The sequence below is a fragment of the Homo sapiens genome, chromosome 15, assembly GCF_000001405.40.
Source record: "Homo sapiens chromosome 15, GRCh38.p14 Primary Assembly".
NCBI lineage: Eukaryota > Metazoa > Chordata > Mammalia > Primates > Hominidae > Homo > Homo sapiens.
The window spans coordinates 69,159,785-69,180,181 of record NC_000015.10 but is presented as its reverse complement, the minus strand read 5'-3'; the positions used below and the strand labels follow the sequence as shown (position 1 = coordinate 69,180,181).

General features: G+C 38.4%; 1 protein-coding gene and 1 pseudogene across 8 annotated transcripts in view, besides 3 other annotated features; one reads left to right on the top strand and one right to left on the bottom strand.

Annotated features, from left to right (window-relative positions):
- Positions 1 to 19,547, bottom strand: part of GLCE (glucuronic acid epimerase) — a 111,573-nt gene extending 92,026 nt beyond the window's left edge. For 7 of the 8 annotated variants that reach the window (NM_001324094.2, XM_047432377.1, XM_047432376.1 and 4 more), the window contains exon 1: positions 19,425 to 19,547. The gene's annotated coding sequence lies outside the window, so the exon portion shown is untranslated. Of the gene's footprint in view, positions 1 to 16,757; positions 16,885 to 19,424 lie in introns of all 8 variants that reach the window. The other variant, NM_001324093.2, reaches the window with a different exon arrangement.
- LOC100421574 (family with sequence similarity 47 member C pseudogene) lies at positions 18,277 to 19,429 on the top strand (annotated as a pseudogene).
- Positions 19,168 to 19,277: a silencer, noted in NCBI's record as "silent region_6597". NCBI's record gives its function as "represses an Ori minimal core promoter by ATAC-STARR-seq in GM12878 lymphoblastoid cells {active_cell/tissue: GM12878}" and the evidence as "EXISTENCE:reporter gene assay evidence [ECO:0000049][PMID:35858748]".
- Positions 19,385 to 19,885: an enhancer, noted in NCBI's record as "H3K27ac hESC enhancer chr15:69452636-69453136 (GRCh37/hg19 assembly coordinates)". NCBI's record gives its function as "activates a minimal SCP1, AML or CMV promoter by ChIP-STARR-seq in primed H9 embryonic stem cells {active_cell/tissue: H9 hESC(primed)}" and the evidence as "EXISTENCE:reporter gene assay evidence [ECO:0000049][PMID:30033119]".
- Positions 19,478 to 19,687: a silencer, noted in NCBI's record as "silent region_6596". NCBI's record gives its function as "represses an Ori minimal core promoter by ATAC-STARR-seq in GM12878 lymphoblastoid cells {active_cell/tissue: GM12878}" and the evidence as "EXISTENCE:reporter gene assay evidence [ECO:0000049][PMID:35858748]".

Here is a 20,397-nt window from a genome sequence, read left to right as displayed (position 1 = left end):
CTCTCAACTTTCTTATTTTATACATCTGGTTAGTTAGTGGTGTTTAATGCAGAATCAGAACTATAGCCAGTTCTCCTTATAACTATACTAATTATTTCCATGAAGATTTTTCTGATCCTTTTTTAATATTTGATCACTCATAACTCTCAAAGCAATAAATACGTTCTTTTGGCACTTGTTATGGTATTGGTTTTTGAGACAGAGTCTCACTCTGTCGTCCAGGCTGGAGTGCAGTGGCGCATTCACAGCTCACTGCAACCTCCACTTCCCAGGCTCAAGCAATTCTTGTGCCTCAGCCTCCTGAGTAGCTGGGACTACAGGCATGCACCACCACGCCCAGCTAATTTTTGTATTTTTAGTAGAGACAGGGTTTCGCCATGTTAGCCAGGCTGGTCTTGAACTCCTGACCTCTCAAGTGATCCACCCGCCTTGGCTTCCTGAAGTGCTGGGATTGCAGGCATGAGCCACTGCACACAGCCACTTGTGTTGTTCTTTGTACTGAATTGTTGGTATATCTCTATTATCTCCCCTATAAAACTATATGCTCTTTAAGGCCAGGAGTTACGTTGTCAGTGGTTAGGATGAGAGATATGACTATATAGGGATGGCACAGGGATTTCTGTTGTGATGAAACAGTTCTGTATCTTGACTGTGGTGGTCAAAACTACACATGATAAAACTGCAAACAATTACACACATACAATGAGTGCCTGTAAAACTGGTGAAATCTGAATAAAGTCTTTGGATTGTCCAACATCAATTTCATGGTTTTGATAGTGCACTAGGGTTATATAAGATGTTACCAGCAGGGTTTGAAATTGGATGAAGGGTATATGGTACCTCTCTGCACGAATTTTCCAACTTCCTGTGAATCTATAATTACATACTACAAATTCTTTTAATGTAATATTCTCTTGACAAGAAATAAATACTCAAGCAGTATAAAAGTGTACACAACCAAACCCAACCACAGTCATACCGAGATCTGATTTCCAATCTCCTGGTCCCTTCTTTTAGTCCCTCTTCAGAAGGAACTATTCCCTTTCTTGTGTATCCTTCTAGAAAAGTCTATGCATTTTGAAGCAAAATATGTTTATTAATGTGTGCATATGCATGTGTATTTACACCAACACATACACAACTTATTTACAGCAATATAAGCGGCATACCATAAACACTGCTCTGCAACTTACTTTTTTTTAACCCAATAATGTGTCTTAGAGATTAGCTTATGGAGAAGTGCTCCTTTTTTCTTTTTTTATGACTATATGACATCCCATTGTGTGGCTATATCATCATTTATTTAACCAGACCCCTACTAAGAGTCATATATGTTTTTTGACAATATAATTAATACTATAAAGAGCAAAGATAAATTATTTAAAATTGAATGAAAAAGTATGAATATTTATCATTTTAACATGTAAAGTCAACTTGTCCTCCAAAGAAATTGCACAATTTGTGTTCCTGCCTACAGTATATAACAGTGATTCTAGATATCTTTGCCAGTGTTGTGTATTATTGAGCTTTTTAATCCTTGTCAATCTGATAATCAAAAAATGTTCTCCTGTTTAAATTTGCATTTGAATAATAATAAAAATAAACTTCCATAGAGCACTTACTGTGTGTCAGATATTGTTCTGAGAACTCCACATATATTAACTTATCTAATACTCATAACAGTCCCTTGAGGTAGATGATATTGCTATTATTAGCCACATTTTACTGATGAGAAAACTGAAACACAGGAAGGTTAGGGAACTTGATTACACTGATTGTTAGAGAATATGCAAACCCAAGCAGACTGACTCTAGAGGTTTAAATTTTAAACAACATATTAAGTTTTTTGTTCAGCTTTCCAAAAATATTTTCTTATGCTTAAAGCCATTTGTATATTTTTTGATATTAGCTACCTGGTTTTGTCCTCTGCCCATTTTTCTGTTGGATTTTTGATCTTACTCTTACCGAGCTACAAGATCTCTTTGTGTATTAAGAAAATTAGCCCTTTATGATAAATATGTTATTCCCAAAAAAGGTAAAACAGATACCTACCCTGTGACCTAGTCATCCTATTTAACCAAAAGAAATGAAAATATATGTCCATATAAAGACTCGTACACTAATATTCGTAACAGCTTTATTTGTAAATAAAACTGTAAATAACCCAAATGCTCATCAGCAAATGAATGATAAATTTTGGTATACCCATATAATGGGATATTACTACAAAAAATGAATGAATTATTTATACATGCAACAACAGAGAAGAATCTCAAAATAATTATTTGAGTGAAAGAAGCCAGACTATAAAGAAAAGTACATACTATGTAATTCCATTTATATAAAACTCTAGAAAATACAAAACAATCAATCTGTAGTTACATTAAGTAGATCAATGGTTACTTTGAGAGGGTGGAGTGTGGAGGGGCATGAAGTAAAGATGATAAAGCGGCATGAAGTAAAGATGATAAAGCGGCATGAAGTAAAGATGATAAAGGGGCATGAAGTAAAGATAATAAAGGGGCATGAGGTAAAGATAATAAAGGGGCATGAAGTAAAGATAATAAAGGGGCATGCATGAAGAAACTTCTGGAGATGATGGGTATGGTCACTATTTTGAATGTGGTAATGATTTCACAGGTATATACCTACATCAAAACTTACTAAATTGTGTAATTCACTATATGCCAGTTATACTTCAGTGAAGCTGTTATACTAAGGGACTCATAACATATTGTACTATTGTTTTAAAAATTATCAAAAAATGGTGATATCTCCTGTTTAACTTCTTTTATATTCATCATAAAGAACACAAGCAAGGCCGGGTGCAGTGGCTCACACCAGTAATCTCAGCACTTTGGGAGACCAAGGCAGATGGATCACCTGAAGTCAGGAGTTTGAGACCAGCCTGGTAACATGGCAAAACTCTGTCTCTACTAAAAATACAAAAATTAGCTGGGCGTGGTGAAACCCCGTCTCTACTAAAATACAAAAATTAGCTGGGTGTGGTGGCGCATGCCTATAATCCCAGCTACTCGGAAGGCTGAGGCACAAGAATCGCTTGAACCCAGGAGGCAAAGGTTGCAGAGAGCCGAGATTGCACCATTGCACTCCAGCCTAGGTGACAAAGAGACTGTCTCAAAAAAAAAAAAAAAGCAAATATGAAATGTTCCTGATTCAGGTTTGAAACATTATCCACTTCTTTTTTCAAAGTCATAGTTCAATTTGAGAGTGTCCTGATTCTACTCTAAGTCTCAAGAACCAACTAAAACAACTCTTCCAGTTGTGGTGGACATTGTACAATCAAAACAAAATAGAAATTTAATGCAGAGATTGAGAAACTACAATCATTATCAGTTATTCAATTTCAAATTCTTGAGTACATCAAAATGGCCTAAGTCATTCATTCATTTATTTCACTAAGATACATTTGGAATCTGCTATGTATGAGGCACTGTTAAATGCTAGGAATAAAGTGGCAATAGAATGTCGTGAAGATAAGACAACTTAAGAGCCTACCCTGAATGTCACTGATCCCCTTTATGCTAAGTTAATGTTATAAATATGTACTTAAAGTTATACAAAAATGTTACTTTTTATTTGTATTCTATATTGCAGTGCCATATAGATGTTTGAGGAAAAAAAACAAAAATGGGCCAGGGGTGGTGGCTGACGCATGCCTGTAATCCCAGTACTTTGGGTGGCTGAGGTGGGCAGATCATCTGAGGTCAGGAGTTTGAGACCAGCCTGGCCAACATGGTGAAACCCTGTCTCTACTAAAAATACAAAAATTAGCCAGGTGTGGTATTGCCCACCTGCAGTCCCAGCTACTTGGGAGGCTGAGGCAGGAGAAGCGCTTGAACCCAGGAGGTGGAGGTTGCAGTGAGCCCGAAATCACACCACTGCACTCCAGCCTGGGCAACAGAACAAGACCCTGTCTCAAAAAAAAAAAAAAAAAAAAAAAACAAGGTTCCACTGAAAACTACTAGATCACAAAATTTAACTCCTTTTAGACTTTAATATGTGGTAATGCAAAAACAATCACATCCCATGCCAAATAAAAAGTGGCTCTGAATTATCAATTTTTCATTATTTCAATTATTTGAGAGATATACCATTAGTATATAATGCACATGTAGCTTCTAAAAATGAGTAAGTGAACAGTGTTACATGACAAAGTACAATGTAAGATTTGCCAGCCAGTATACTCACCTCCCTATTTGTGATTTGATGTTTTCCTGCTCAAGGGTTCTAAGGTTATATACTCAGTAAATTCACACATTTCCTGAGTGTCTTCAGAAACTTTATTTGTTTTAATTTAAGTAAAATAACTGGAAAATAGCAATTTACATTGCAGAGATGCCCCCACATGAAGAAGCAGTGAAAGCCTATCACATAACAGAAAGTCATTAGCTTCAGTGAAGAAGGCAAACAGATCTCTGATATGGACCCAAACTTCCCCTGAGCAAAAGCCAATCAAAACAAAATATGACAATGCTACCTTGATTTTAAAACATGCTAAGTCTGGAACACCCACTGGGTATGACAAGTATTTTGTACAGGGAATGAAGAATATAGAAAATGAAGCTGATGACTATAAACTAACTTCATCAACAGCTCAATTAGATGTTGTCACAGACATACTTCTTAAACATGTTAAAATATATTCTATTTTATTCATTAAACTTTTTGGTGTTCATATGAATGTAACAAAGTAAAAAGTACACTACTGAGGTCCAGTAAGTACATTTACTAGAATGTATCTCCTGATTTTCTAAAAAGAAATTTCGTTTTGAAATACACATTTTAAAATTATTTGCCACTTCTGAGGGCTAATGACAAAGACATTGGCATATGCATTGAAAAACAACAAAAGGGAGACTCCAAAATTTAGGAGATGGTGGTATTAAGAATGTGAGGATGATGGAAAAATCTTTTTCTTATTTTTCATTTTTAAAGTGGGTATATTACTATTATTTGTAAATTTTACAATACATCAGATGAAGACTAAAGATCATATTGCTAAAGAAAAAAAGTAGAAACTAAACATGGAAATTCTGCATAGGCTTTTTCTCATGCTATTAAGAGTTTCAACATTAGCTAAAATTCAACCACCGAGTCTGTAAATTTTAATTTCATTAAGTAGTTTTCAAGCCTCAGTAAAAGAGTCTTCAAGGGGCTTATAATCCTGTTAATTTTTTTAAAAAACCTTACATATTATAAAGCAATTAGTAACAGTATAGGATATAGTACTAATAGATTACCAAACTGTTAGAAAAGAAAGAAAAATATCAGTGTTGGATAGAAGAACCCGAGATGACTTTAAAAAAATGGATCAGGGTTAAGTCCTAAAAATTAGACTTTAGATGGGCTTAAAGAAAGAGAGTATTCTCAGGATAAAAAAATATGAAGGTCATGAAGGCCAAAAAAAGCTCTGATTTGTGTAAGGGATGACAGTGAATAAAATGGTTTACTGTTCCATTTTAGATTTAAACAACTGAATCATTTAGAAGTTAATAATCTTTGGGGTTTTGTTTGTTTGTTTGTTTTGTTTTGTTTTGTTTTGTTTTTTAGACATAGTTTCACTCTTGTCGCCCAGGCTGGAATACACTGGTGCGATCTCAGCGCAATGCAACCTCTACCTCCCAGGCTCAAGTGATTCTGCTGCTTCAGCCTCCTGAGTAGCTGGGATTACAGGTGCCCACCACCATGCCCAGCTAATTTTTGTATTTTTAGTAGTGACGGGGTTTCACCATGTAGGCCAGGTTGGTCTCAAACTCCTGACCTCAGGTGATCTGCCCACCTTTGCCTCCCAAAGTGCTGGGATTACAGGCATGAGTGGTTTCAGTTTTTGACATTAACATTTTTTTAGATACACAGAAGAGAAACCACAAGCATTTGAATTTAATGATACTTATGCCATCATCTTTAAAAGCAACTTCAATTAGTCTGTGACATTTCTAAAACAAGACTAAAATCTTGTTTCCTTCGGAATTGTGAATAAACTTTTTAAAAATCATCTAAGGCCAGGTATGGTGGCTCATGCCTATAATCCCATCACTTTGGGAGGCCAAGGCAGGTGGATCACTTTGAGCTCAGGAATTGAAGACCAGCCTGGGCAACATGGCAAAGCCCCATCTCTACAAAAATACAAAAATTAGCTGGGTGTGGTGGCATGCGCCTGTAGTCCCAGCTACCTGGGAGGCTGAGACTGGAGGATCACTTTAGCCCAGGAAGCAGAGGTTGCAGTGAGCCAAGATCACACCACTGCACACCAGCCTGGATGACAGAGTAAGACCCTGTCTCAAAAAAATAAAAAATCTAGTTAAATTATTTCATACTATAATTTCAGATTTTGATTATCAGGAAGGTATCATTCTCTCTAATAGAATCTGATACTGTATGAAGCCATAAGTATTATAAGTGTGAATAAGTGCCCAAGAAAATGTTTTGCCAATTGGAATTACAACCAATGAAGAAAATTTTTAAAAATTTTTAAATTGGAAAAGTCCTTAAAGGATCGCTTGATTAAACCCTACTCAATCTATGCTTTAGTGCCTCAGGGAGTGAATGTTTACTCCATTCAAATTGTCACCAGCCTGGGCAACAGAGCAAGACCCCATCTCTTAAAAAAATAAAAAGGCTTCTTCATTATGAACCAATATTTTCCTTCCTCTAACTTTCATTCATTGTTCCTAGTTCCATCCTCCAGACTGCAATGCAAAAGATATGCTTAATCCTTCTTCCATGTGCCAACCCTTCATGTTTCACAGAATCTCAGATTTGAGTCAGGAAGAACATTAAAGATCATCCAGTTACCCAATCTAAAAAGTATTATCATATACCCCAACTCTTCTTTCTTCCATGCTAAACAACCTCAATGTTTCAATTACTTTGCAACTGTTTCAAGACATGCTTCATTCTGATTACTCTCTTCTCACTACACTGTTTATCAATGCCTACCTTAAAATGTGGCAAACAGAACAGAACTAAGCTAGATGCAGAGTAGAAAAGAATAATCAACTGTTTTGGACAATATGCTTCAAAGTGTAGCTTAAGCAGGTGCTGAATATTGGGATAGTTATAATAAACCACTGACTCACCAACTGCAGACAAATAAGGAGACACACCCAGGCACACACCTCTGCTTAAACAAACACACATCTACTGCTGTTAGCCCTCCAAGATTCCCATCTTGTATTTGTGCAGACTTCTGAAAAAAAAATCAACTATAGGCCGGTCTTTATCAAATATTTACACACCAAATATAAAATCTTATAACATATTTCGTAACAAATATTTTCTAAATACAGTCTGTCATTTTTAACTATTAGAAATAAGGCAGTAAGAGTGAAGATGCTGATTCTGTATATATACCAGCATTCCCTTACAATTTTCAGAGTAACTGATAAAAATCTTAAATAGGACATGATAGCTTCTTGAGGCACACCACTAAGAATGTACTGCAGTTTAATTTTAATCATCAAGCTCTGGATATGGCCATTTAAGCAATTACTAATCCACCTACCTATGTAACTATTCGGACCACATTTTCTATCTAGTCTAAAAAGATATCGTTAAGAGGATGTCAAATGCTATATGTATAACCTTGAGGGACCCTTTCCTCATCTGTAAAACAATAACTTAATGAGACAACCTATGTAAAAGCATTTAATCCAGTGCCCAGCACGTAATTTAAAATCCAATAAATGTAGCAATAATTCTATATATACTATGGCCAGAGTATCTTCTGATATATCTACTATTAATAGTTCACTTACCCCATAAAAAAAGAAGTGAAGCTAGGTGTCATTACTTGTTCTTTGTGAACCCATGCTGGCTCCTAGTGATCAGTGCCTTCTTTTGTTAAGTACCGACAACACGTGTGTTCGATAATCTGTTTAAGAATTTGTTCAAGGAATGACACCAAGCTCTGATATCAGTCTATTATTGTCTGTAACCTTTACTTGTTTTCCCATATTGTACATACTTCAGCAGCCAAAATACTCTTTTATACATAATAGGTCTTCAAAAAAAATGGTTAATTGAATTCCCTTTTAAAAAATCAGTATGAATTTCTTAGTTTTGATCAATATAACATGATTATATAAGATGTGAACATTAGAGAAAGCTGAGTGAAGGGTATATGGCACATGGAAATCTTCTGGACTATCTTTGCAATTCTCCTATAAAGATATATTTCAAAATTGAACATTTTTAAAAAATCAAGATGATCTCTTCCCTCTGACAAATTCTTTCTTCAAATTCCCCAAATATTACCAATCACAATTAGATGTAAATTCTTTCAGCGGCCCTTAGAGCTTTATAATCTATCCTCAGTAGGAGACAAGAATTCCAGTAAACAGGAACTCTTATAATACCCCTAACTTATCCTGGGCTACGTCAGTGAGTTAGTATTCAGTAAACAATAGTCATTCCCAAATTTTAGTTTTTGAAATAAGGGCCTTAAAAAGAATCTATCCCAGAGCAGGGCGCGGTGGCTCACGCCTGTAATCCCAGCACTTTGGGAGGTCAAGGTGGGTGGATCACAAGGTCAGGAGTTCGAGACCAGCCTGGCCAACATAATGAAACCCCGTCTCTACTAAAAATACAAAAAATTGGCCGGGCATGGTGGCAGGCGCCTGTAATCCCAGCTACTCAGGAGGCTAAGGCAAGAGAATTGCTTGAACCTGGGAGGCCGAGGTTGCAGTGAGCCAAGATCATGCCATTGCACTCCAGCCCGGGCGACAGTGCGAGACTCCATCTCAAAAAAAAAAAAAAAGAATATATCCCAAAAGTAAATATCTTTTCCCTAAACCATTAAAATCCTGCAGAAACCAATTAAAATTTCTGACTCTTGTTGCTCAAACCATTTATTTAACAGTGACATTCAAGTCAAGCTCAGAAATATCTTTTATATATGAGACAAATTACTACTATATATTATCATGAAAAACTGTCTTAAAATATTTTTAAAATATGTTTATATTGAGGGTGATTGGTTTTTAAATTAGGTAAATAAAAGTTTAAGTAAATGAATAATTTTATTTGGTTTTTAAATTAGGTAAATAAAAGTTTAAGTAAATGAATAATTTTATTTGCAATTATTCAAACTCAAATTTTCACTGTTAAACAGTAGTCAGAGGAATTCTGCAAAAACTGTAACTGTCAAGCAAATGAATCCTAAAATGCTTAAGAATAAAGTATCTTTCCCCTAAATGTTTTCCTAAATACCTCCAAATAGCTTTCATACATTTAAAGAGCTTCTTTCAGGTATCATCTGTCTAATTTTCAAAAACTTGGCTTTTCACTTTGGAACAGTACTACAGAATCAGTACTATAAACAGAAGTGCTATTGTCAAAGAACTGATTCAATAATAAGGAGCGCTAAGGCCACTTGTCTTACAGAAAATTACCGCCAAATACTGCCAGACCCTGCTTTTCTTCCTTCTGGGCCAGTAGCCAGATACGAATCATAGCTAGACCCTTTCTAATTTTTAATACACAAAATGGTACACAATAACACATCTAAACCAGAAAGTATTTTAATGAATGGTTTCCATAATTCATCTAATGTTTTGGCATATATACACACACATTACACACATGCATGCACACACAAATATATATACATACACTTACAAACATATACATATACACACATTTATACACATATACATATATATGCATAGTCTATAATATCTTTAGAAGTATACATAAAAAACTGTTAACAATGGCTGCCTCTGGGACAACTGTTTCTATCTCTGAATTTTGTTATGTTTTTCTAATAACTATTCAAAATTTATCTATTAAAAGGAGAAACAACAATAAAGAACAATAATTCTAGATAAAATATATTTTACCTTACAAGACATCTGAGGCATTCTTTTAAAAATTGTTTTATTATAAATATTTTAATATCTAATTGTTTATGAAACAATTTACAATGTTTCAACTTCACTTATAACCAAAGAAATACAAATTAAGTAAGATATTTTGCTTATCAAATTGCAAATGTTTTTTTAAAACTAATGTTTCATATTGGCATATAAATTAGCAACTTTCTAGAAAGCAATATGGCAATGTCTAATTTTTTTAAGGTCTTATCTTTTGACTTAATGTTTTTATTCCTATTCTTTAAACAAATCAGGTAGGGAGAAAGATTATGTACTAAGATTTACATAAATGTTATTAGCAGAGAGAATAAATTATTTTAATACATTTGAAATAATCTTATAATAAGAGATTAGTTAATTCATCTTTAATCATTTAATGATCATCTAGCATGTGAGAGGAACCATGTGAGCTTAAGAATTATGTGTGTTCGTATGTTTATTGCGGCACTATTCACAATAGCAAAGACTTGGAACCAACCCAAATGTCCATCAATGATAGGGTGGATTAAGAAAATGTGGCACATACACACCATGGAACACTATGCAGCAATAAAAAAGGATGAGTTCATGTCCTTTGTAGGGACATGGATGAAGCTGGAAACCATCATTATCAGCAAACTATCGCAGGGACAAAAAACCAAACACCACATGTTATCATTCATAGGTGAGAATTGAACAATGAGAACACTTGGACACAGGAAGGGGAACATCACACACAAGGGCCTGTTGTGGGGTGGGGGGAGGGACAGCATTAGGAGATATACCTAATGTAAATGACGAGTTGCAGGTGCAGCACACCAACATGGCACATGTATACATATGTAACAAACCTGCACGTTGTGCATATGTACCCCAGAACTTAAAGTATAATTAAAAAAAAGAATTATGTGTGTATATGTGTGTATATATATGGAGATATGTTTTATTATATATTTAAATGAAGCGCTTTGCCAAAAAATGAATTTTTATGGCCACCAAAACACATGCACAAAATTGTTTATGGTAGCTTTGTTTCTAAGAACTAAACACTGGAAACAGCCCAAATGTCTGTCAACAGAAGACGCAAATAGACACTCGTATAATGAAATAATACAGAGCAATGAAAAAGAATTACTACTACTAACTCAAAAAACATGGATTTCACAGATGTAATGTTCAACACAGGAAATTAGACATAAAAGAATGATTTGATTCCACTTATATGAATTTCAGGAATAAACACAACTAATCTATAGTGATGGGTATCAGAAAAGTGGTAACTTTCGTTAAGCAATGACTAAGAGAGTACAGGAGGGAAGCTTTCAAGGTCCTGGAAATGTTCTCTATCTTGATCTGATTGTTGGTTACATGTTTACATATGTAATTCATTGAGCTGTATACTTATGATTTGTGTACTTTATTGTATATATTTTTTCTTCGAGTCCTATCAAATTTTTTAAAAAACAGAATGGATGGGCCAGGGGCAGTGGCTCACGCCTGTAATCCAAGCACTTTGGGAGGCCGAGGTAGGCGGATCACCTGAGGTCGGGAGTTTGAGACCAGCCTGACCAACATGGAGAAATCCCATCTCTACTAAAAATACAAAATTAGCCGGGAGTGGTGGCACATGCATGTAATCCCAGCTACTCAGGAGGCTGAGGCAGGAGAATCACTTGAACCTGGGAGGCAGAGGTTGCGGTGAGCCAGATCAGGCCATTGCACTCCAGCCTACGCAACAGAAGCGAAACTCCGTCTCAAAAAAAAAAAAAAGGAATAGATGGAATGGAAAGTTCCTCTTCCTCCATGCCTGCCAGCAAGAAAGAAAGAAAAGAAGAGATGAGAGGCTTAGATCAAATGATCTTTTAAGCTCCTGCTTTAAAGTTCCACTGTCTTATTAATTCAACAAAAATTTGAGCACCTACTTTGTAAAATGCACCGTTCTGTATGTTGGGGATACAATATTGACTAAAATGGGTAAAAATCCCTATCCTGGAGGGTCTTATGTTTTTTAATTTTTCATTTAATTTAACTCTTTTTTTTGAGACAGGGTCTTACTTTTTTGCCCAGGCTGATCTCAAACTCCTAGGCTCAAGCAATCCTCCAACCTCGGCCTCCGAGGTAGGTGGGACTACAGGCATGCATCACCGTGTCCGGCTCTTACACTTTTTTTTAGTAGGAGTAGAAAGACAATAAAAATCTAGAGTATGTTGGATAGTGAAAAGCACAAAAAAGAAACAAAGCAGGCAAGAAGGATAGGAAGAGTATGTGTGGAAGAGATATTGTCATTTTAAACAAGGTGACCAGTAAAGTTCTCAGATAAAGGATAATACTTTAATTAAGACCTGAAGGAAGTGAAGGAGGGAGACATTTGGATATCTGAAAGAACATGTTAAAGACCTCATGAAACAGTGAGGAGTGTGGCTGAAGGAAAGTAAGCAAGGTAAGATTAGTAAAAGCTGAGATTTAAAAAAAAAAAAAAAAAACTTTTCCCAAGTCTTTTTCTCTTTCTACACCATTCCAACTCTTCATTTAAAGACTTAAGTAGAAACTTTTCTATATAGAAATTTCTGTAACCACTAGCCCAGCCCACATTTACCTAATCTTCTGAGCTGCTAAAGTTATACTACTCATGGTTATCTTTATACACTACCTTGCAATTAGATATAAACTGCCTTCCGCTCCCAAACAGACCAAGCTTCTTCATGGCAGTGACTAGATTTTATGCATTTCTGTATTCCTATTAGTTGGCCCATGGTTGGCACTTAAATGATAACTGGTAAGACTGATGCTAATAACAACTCAGCAGGCATAAGATCAGTAAACTGTGGACAAATTTTAAGAAAGAAAAAGAGGAAGGAAAGGAGCCAAGATTAGGGAACCATGTGCTTCAGGCACTGGCGTGTCTCCATGTGTCATGATCCAAAGTCAGGATTTTCTCTGATTGTCCTTAAGACTCTCAGATCCTCAACATTACTTTTATAAAAAGTCATTCTAGGCTTTTGCTTCTTCCCCTTGAGGGGGAAAATCAAGCATCTGGTATCCCTTTCAAGCAATAGTTTTTGTTTGTTTTGTTTTGTTTTGTTTTTTGTTTTTGAGATGAGTCTTGCTCTGTCACCCAGCCTGAGTGCAGTGGCGCGATCTCAGCTCATTGCAACCTCTGCGTCCCGGGTTCAAGCAATTCTCCTGCCTCAGCCTCCCGAGTACCTGGGATTACAGGTGTGCACCACCACACCTGGCTAATTTTTGTATTTTTAGTAGAGACGGGGTTTCACCATGTTGGCCAGGCTGGTCTCGAACTCCTGAACTCAAGTGATCCACCTGCTTCAGCCTCCCAAAGTGCTGGGATCACAAGTGTGAGCCATCGCACCCGGCCTTTTTTTTTTTTTTTTTTTTTTTTTGAGACAGAGTCTAGGTCTGTCGGCCAGGCTGGACAATCTCGGCTCACTGCAACCTCCGTCTCCCAGGCTCAAGCAATTTTCCTGCCTCAGCCTCCCGAATAGCTGGGATTACAGGCGTGTGCCACCACGCCCGGCTAATTTTTGTATTTTTAGTAGAGACGGGGTTTCACCATGTTAGCCAGGCTGGTCTTGAACTCCTGACTTCAGGTAATCCGCCCGCCTCGGCCTCCCAAAGTGCTGGGATTAGAGGCGTAAGCCACCGCGCCTGGCCTCGAGTAATAGTTTTATAACACCAGTGTTCACAACCAGCTTAACAAAGAAAATCTTATAGACCAACTAACTGTGTGATCTTCAGCACCCCATTCCACCACTCTTGCATGTGTGCTTCCTCATATGCTAAAGGAAGGAGTTGGATTAAATGGTCTCTAAAGTCCAATCAATCTCAAATTGTCTACTTTAGCTTTTTTGGAAGAACTGAATGGATAAACTTTACAACCTACTTCTTCAATTTACAAAATGAATTAAATATGTTAATAATTTTAAACACTGAATAAGCAGTCATATTCAGAAAACAGTGTAGTATTAGAAAAAGCATAGAGTCTGGAGACAGTCAGACCTACATGTAGTCATAGTCTGCATCTTAGTAGATAATGACGCTGAGCAAATTATTAAATGTTTAGGATTTATTTTGAAAATGAATGGCAATGTATGTAAAGCAATTATTAAAGCCTATATAAAAACCTGCATACATCAGCTACTATCATTTTCCAAGTAAAAAGCAGCCAAGGTAAAATATCTACCAAATAATGATGTCCAAGATTTAAAACACCCAAACTAGTTAATATCTCTTCTAGCAATTTTAGAGATAAGGATTAGTAGTTGCCTCAAAATTCTACAAGACTTTTCTGCAAGTTTAACAGTGTAACCATCACCTCTTAAAGTGCGAGAAGTCTTATTTCTTAAACACAAAGCTAAGAACTACCATTCTCATATCAGCTTATGGTCACAGGGCAAGAGAATAAGATACTTTAGAAACTCCCAAATTTTAGGAAAACAGGATAAGACTGAGATTTGAGTTTAACTCACTTCTGACATCATGAACACATCAATCTTGGTACTGAGAGTTCAAACATGTAATGATAGCCAACTATGCATAAACAAGCAACAGGAAGTCAAAAAGTAATAAGACAAATATAAACCTGCCTTTGAGTCCAGGAGGAAAGAGAGACTTAATTACAACACATTAGTAAACACAAGAGAATGAATGAACATGATACAGTGAGTATATAACACCTAGGGTTGGGAAGAGGGAAGACCAGAAGACTTAAAAAGCAGACAGTAAAGAAAGAAAAAAAAGAAAAAATGGTAACTAAAAAAGAGCTAAAAAAAAAAAAAAAAAAAAAGCAGACAGTGCTTACGTTGTATCTTAAAAAATCAGTAGACTTTGCCAGCAAGACAAGAGAAGGAAAGACATCCTAAATAGTGGAGAGAACATATGTGAAGGCTCTGAGTCAGGAAACAGTATGGCTCATTCAGTAAACTGCTCGTATTAGTACAAGTGCAGCTTTAGATTTATGGTGGGGGAAATGCATAAGATTAGTCAGATGATGAAAGGCCTTGTAACGATAGAGAGTTGGGCTGATAAAGTATGGGCTTTAAGAAAGAAGGGCAGGGAGAGACAGCATCAGGAAGAGAAGAATAGCTAGTGGATGCTGGGCTTTATACCTGGGTGATGGGATGATCTGTGCAGTAAATCACTATGGCACATGTTTACCTGTGTCACAAACCTGCCCATTCTGCACATGTGCCCCTGAACTTAAAAGAAAAGTTGAAAGATAAATAAATAAATCTCAGTAACATTTCTAAGAAAGAAAGAGAAAGAAAAGAGAAAAGAAACAAGAAAAGAAGCAATGAATAGATTTGCACTTCAGAAAAATCACCTTGGCAGTAATGTAAGGATGGATTAAAGGGGATCAAGTCTGGAGGCAACCACTAGAGACCTCATTCTATATCCAGAGTTAAGTAAGGACATATTATTATATAGATAATCTACTACAGAACCAGGGATTGGAACTAAAAATAATAATGCTTTAACAGATAAAGCTAAATTATCTAAAGAAAATCACTCACCTTCATGAATCTATATTCTGGAATTAAATACTTGCCATGTACCTTTAAAAAGAAGAGGCTTCTAAAATTAGGTATAATATGTAAAAATTACATGGAACTAGTTGTTTCTTGAGAACTAGCTACTCTTAAGGTATCTCTTCCTTTTTGTACATACAATACTTCAGACTTGCAACACAAAAACTCTAAGTGTGTGTATATGTATCTTTTTATACACATATTTTATATATTATACATATTATATACATATATGGCATATGTATATAACAACATACACATGTCATATATGTATATATTAAAGCAAAAGTATATATTATATATAAAATGTATGTAAGTATAATTCATATATGTATATATGAAAACTGGGGCCCTGAAAGATTAAGGAATTATCCAAGGACACACCATGAGTAGCACAGTGAAGACTGGAATTCATGTCTTATGATTTCCTTTCTAGAAACTGCTTTAGTATATCATATTTATGATTCTAGAACTCTGAATGATAATTCAAAAGACACTTTGGTACTGTCATTTTCAGCAGTGTAATAATGAAACTATAAAATTATTTGTATGGTTCGTATGCTTCACAAGCAAAATATATCTATCAGATGTGTATATGTTTGACAAAAAGAAATTTCCTGAAGTCTGTACCACAATAAGAATACCTATTCCCCCACCCTATTCTCCTCTAGGAAATCTAAAAACTTCCTTTTGCAAACTCAGGAAACAATTAAATTTGATAAAAGAAAGTCCTAAAATTAATTTATCTTTACATAATTAAATATCCAACAAACTTAACATGTTTTAACATTTTACTTAGGTCTGTGTCTTTTCTTATTTTGTTGTGCTACCCACCCCACCCTGCACACCCTTATAATTTTCAGATACTTGAAATACCCTTTTCCTTCATTAGTATACACGGGTACAACTGGCAATACTGACAAAAGCCTTATAAATACTGTACATTTCACCATTTGCATAGTGACTGAAATGTTTTAATTTTAGGGTTTCTCTAACTTGTACTTAAAAGTAATGTCTGCTCATTGAAATAGATTCAAGTAATATAAAACTATAAAATTAAACCGCTCTCTTCTATGCCTCTGCAACTCCCTCCTGAAGAATCCAAACATGGTTAAGTCTGATGTGTATCCTTATAGGCTTTTGTATGCTTACGTAGCACAATCATCTACAAAGAGTCAACATACATTTAACACCTAAAACTCTACTGATTGTAATTTAATCTTTCTTTACTAATTCAGAAGGCAGTTAACTATTTTGCTTGGTTTCTTATTATCACAACACACATCAATCGTATCATCATTCAGGGGTTACTAAAAAAAGAGAGCTGAATCTTAAGTACCTTGTGTATTTCTTCCTTAGCAGTATCACAATTTTTAACTGTATTTATTTGTTTTCTTCCTCTCTCTGGACTTAAAGGGGAAAGTCACATGACAGCTTTAATCAGTGTACATCCAGCGCTGTGACACCTAGCAGATAATCAAATATGTGTTGACTTATCAGTCTATGCCTTACTTAGAAATGATGAAAGCTGCTTTTTAGAAAAAAAAAAGTTTCTGAAACCTGCTTAATTTGTTCTTTGTCTTTCTCTCAAAAAAAGGAAAAATAAGATCTGCTTACAGGTTTGGGGGCTGTCATTCCAACCAAATATCTGCTCAAGCAATCAGTTGTGATAGCTGTAAATGTCAACCAGGTATTTTGGTCTGAATAACAACAACAACAAAACTTATTTTAAACCCTTCAAAGTCTTAAATATTGCTGTGCGGGATTCCTTTGTTTTTCAAAATGATGTAAAATTCCAAAATTAAGTACATTATCCCTAATCTGTCTGGTTCTAAGATCAGAAAAAATGACATCTTTTAAAAAAAATTGTATCTAAGAGGCCTGGCATGGTGACTCACGCCTCTAAATCCCAGTACTTTGGGAAGCTGAGGCTGAAGGATCACTTGAGGCCAGGAGTTCAAGACCAGACTGGGCAACAGCGCAAGACCTTGTCTTTAATTAATTGAATAAATAAATAAATAAAATTAGTGAGGCGTGGTGGCACATGCATGTAGTTCCAGCTCCTCTACTGGGGGTGGGGATGGGAAGCTGAACTGGGAGGGCTGCTTGAGCTTTGGAGGTCGAGGCTGCAGTGAGCCATGGTAGCGATGCTACAACCTAGCCTGGAAGGCGGAATAAGTCCCTGTTTCAAAAGAAACAAACCAAAAAACAAGAAAAAAAAAAAACTGACACGAAGAAAAAGACTAAGGCAGGCAAAATTATTTGCTTTGGTATACTCAAATTTGTCTGTTAACCCCAGATTACATATTTACAGAACAGCTCTGAGTACGGACTTCACTGCCTGCCACATTAACTTTCATATACAGGCCTCTGTGATAGAGTAACTAACCAAAAGAAATGTCAGGCAAACACATAGGCTTTCTCACCTATACGCTGTTTTTTTTTTTAACCAATACACATACATACAAGTCATTTTATTTAAATCCCACCTACGCCTACGCTAGTTACCAAAACCTCTGTAATATCCAAGGCTAAATACACTTTTACAATACAATGAAACTGTTAAGCAGAATTCTCTAAAAAAGCTCGATTAACCATCCTTACAGGTCACAGAAAACGTTTTTGCAGAGTTCTAGCTTTGGGATTTCAAATTCCATTGTTTTCTGGAGGCTGAATTTGACGTTATCCCTCTCTACAAATGCTTTTCAAAGGACAGAAAGAAGCCAGACAGAACACGCTTCCCTGCACTATCCGACTCTGCCTAACATTCACTCAGGCAAGACTTCAGAACAGATCTAATCATGCAGGATGAGCAAAGCAGACCACCACCTAGGAAAGCAAGCCAAAATCAGTCTTCCCCACCCTCAACAGATTCCAGTTGCTCAGGAGCTGTATCCACGCTCAACCTGCGGACACCGGCCTCCTAAAGAACCTGCAGACCAAACGCCCACCTAAGGTGCTGCCACTCTAGCTCCCGGAGCTCCAGCGAGACCAGCGCGCCCCCACAGGGATCCCGGGGCAGAGAAAAGAAAACTGCAGAACAAACGCACTGCTTCTTCAACTAGGCAACAACACCGATCAATCCTCCAACTAAGCATTGAGTAAATCTCATCCAGAGAGAAGGAGACCTGAACAAAAACGTTTCAGGATGCTGCCCAGCCTGCGCGGTAGCACCAAAGCCCTCTCCCGCCCTCAGCGGACCCAGCGCCTGCGGAGCCGCGCCCACCCCGAGAGACTGCCCGGGGGCCAGCTAACTCGCCCCGTCGCCCCCAAAAGACTGGAGACCATGCCAAGTTACCGCCCCGCTCCGGGCAAAGCAGAAACCCCGGCCAGACGCTGGTCGCCGCTACACACCCTCAGCCCCCAACAACCCCCCAAGGCGGCCCCGGCCCCAGCGGAACGGATACATCGCTCTCTCACCCGGAGACACCGATGAACAGACCCCTCTCCCCAGAACCCGGACACACTGCTTCTTCATCCCAGCAATGCGAAACGGACGCCCACGCCCGCTCAAAGAACCCCCAAGACCCCGATGATCTGCCTCCAGAGACAAGGTTTACACCGGTGTAAACCTTGCTAAACTGCATTCTCTGCCCCAAAGAGCTCGGGACCCGGGTAAAAAGACCCCTTGTCCCGGAACCCCGCTACACCACCTCCAAGAAGCTCAAGACCCTGATAAATCTCCCTCGACGTCAAAGACCTAGGACCCCGTGTGCCGCCACCCACCCCTACCCCAAGCCGGAAGAGCCCCCAGGATCCCTAATACATTGCCCCCTCACCTCGGGAGCTCCGGCACCCGCTACACCGCCCTTGGGCGCCCGCGCCCGGATCCCACTGCACCGCCTCCTCGCCCCCCGGACTCCCAAACCCCGCCAAGCCTCGCGCCCACCAGGCAGCGCCGCGCAGCCCCCAGAGCCGCCCCCGTCAGGAGCCCGCCTGCTCCGGCTGCTCCGTGTCCCCGCTCCCCGACCGCTCCTCAGCGGAGACGCGCTCCGGGCTTTCTAACCTGAGCAGCGTCGGAGGGCGAGCAGACACGGGAGCCCTGAGGAAGAGAAGGAGACAGCAGAGAAGGGGTGGCTCAGGCCTGCGGTGCCGCAGCTCCAGCCTCTCGGCAAGGAAGCGCTTGTGTGAGGAGAGCCCTCCCGCTCCGCGCGCAGCCGGGAGACCGAGCCACCGCCGTGCCCGCAGCTCTTCCCGCGAGATCCCAGCCACGGCAAGGGGCGGGGCCACGGCGGGGGGCGGTAGCGGCAGCTCCTCGAGTGACAGTCCTGGCAGCCTGTCGGCTGCAGGACGGGCGGCAGGACTCGGAGTCTACTACGACCAATTGTAAAAAAGGAAAGGTGATTCTCCCCGCCCCTTCTCCGCCCCTCTTCTTCTCCGCTCCTCCTTAATAAACTGTGAGCAAAGGTAGTAGTGACCAGAAGTAGTAGGAGGCAGTGGACTTTCGCGGTAAGGTAGCTCGAATGACGTGACGTGCTTGGCTTGTGTGTGGTCCTGCTAGGCCGCCGTAGATACACCTGGTTTGGGGAAGAGGCTGGTCTTCACACCGGTGTAAACCGAGGTGCGGTTACCCTTGGTTACAGCGCTGCCCGAAGTGCGCTGGGGATTCCCATCTTCCAGGTTGAAGGCCCACCCACTCCGGTTACCCGCGTCTAAACCTCCATTTAATTCCTTTCCCCGATTTGGGCCTCTCCTCCCTCTCCACCTCAAACAGGGCACCATTGTTAAGATGCCCATGTTTTCCAAACCCCAACCCAGGACATCTGGTCTGACAAAGAACTCGTCTGATGACTGTATTTATTTCTACATACAGCCTTCCAGAAGAATGAAAAGCAAATCTCGAGTTACCAACATAACAAATTCCAAAATTAATGAAAAGTCGTACCTTTATAGACCCCAGTGCCCAGTAGTATTTGGCACACCCAGGGCACTGAATAATGTGAAAGGAATGAATTAAGACTGTTAAATATATGCAAATC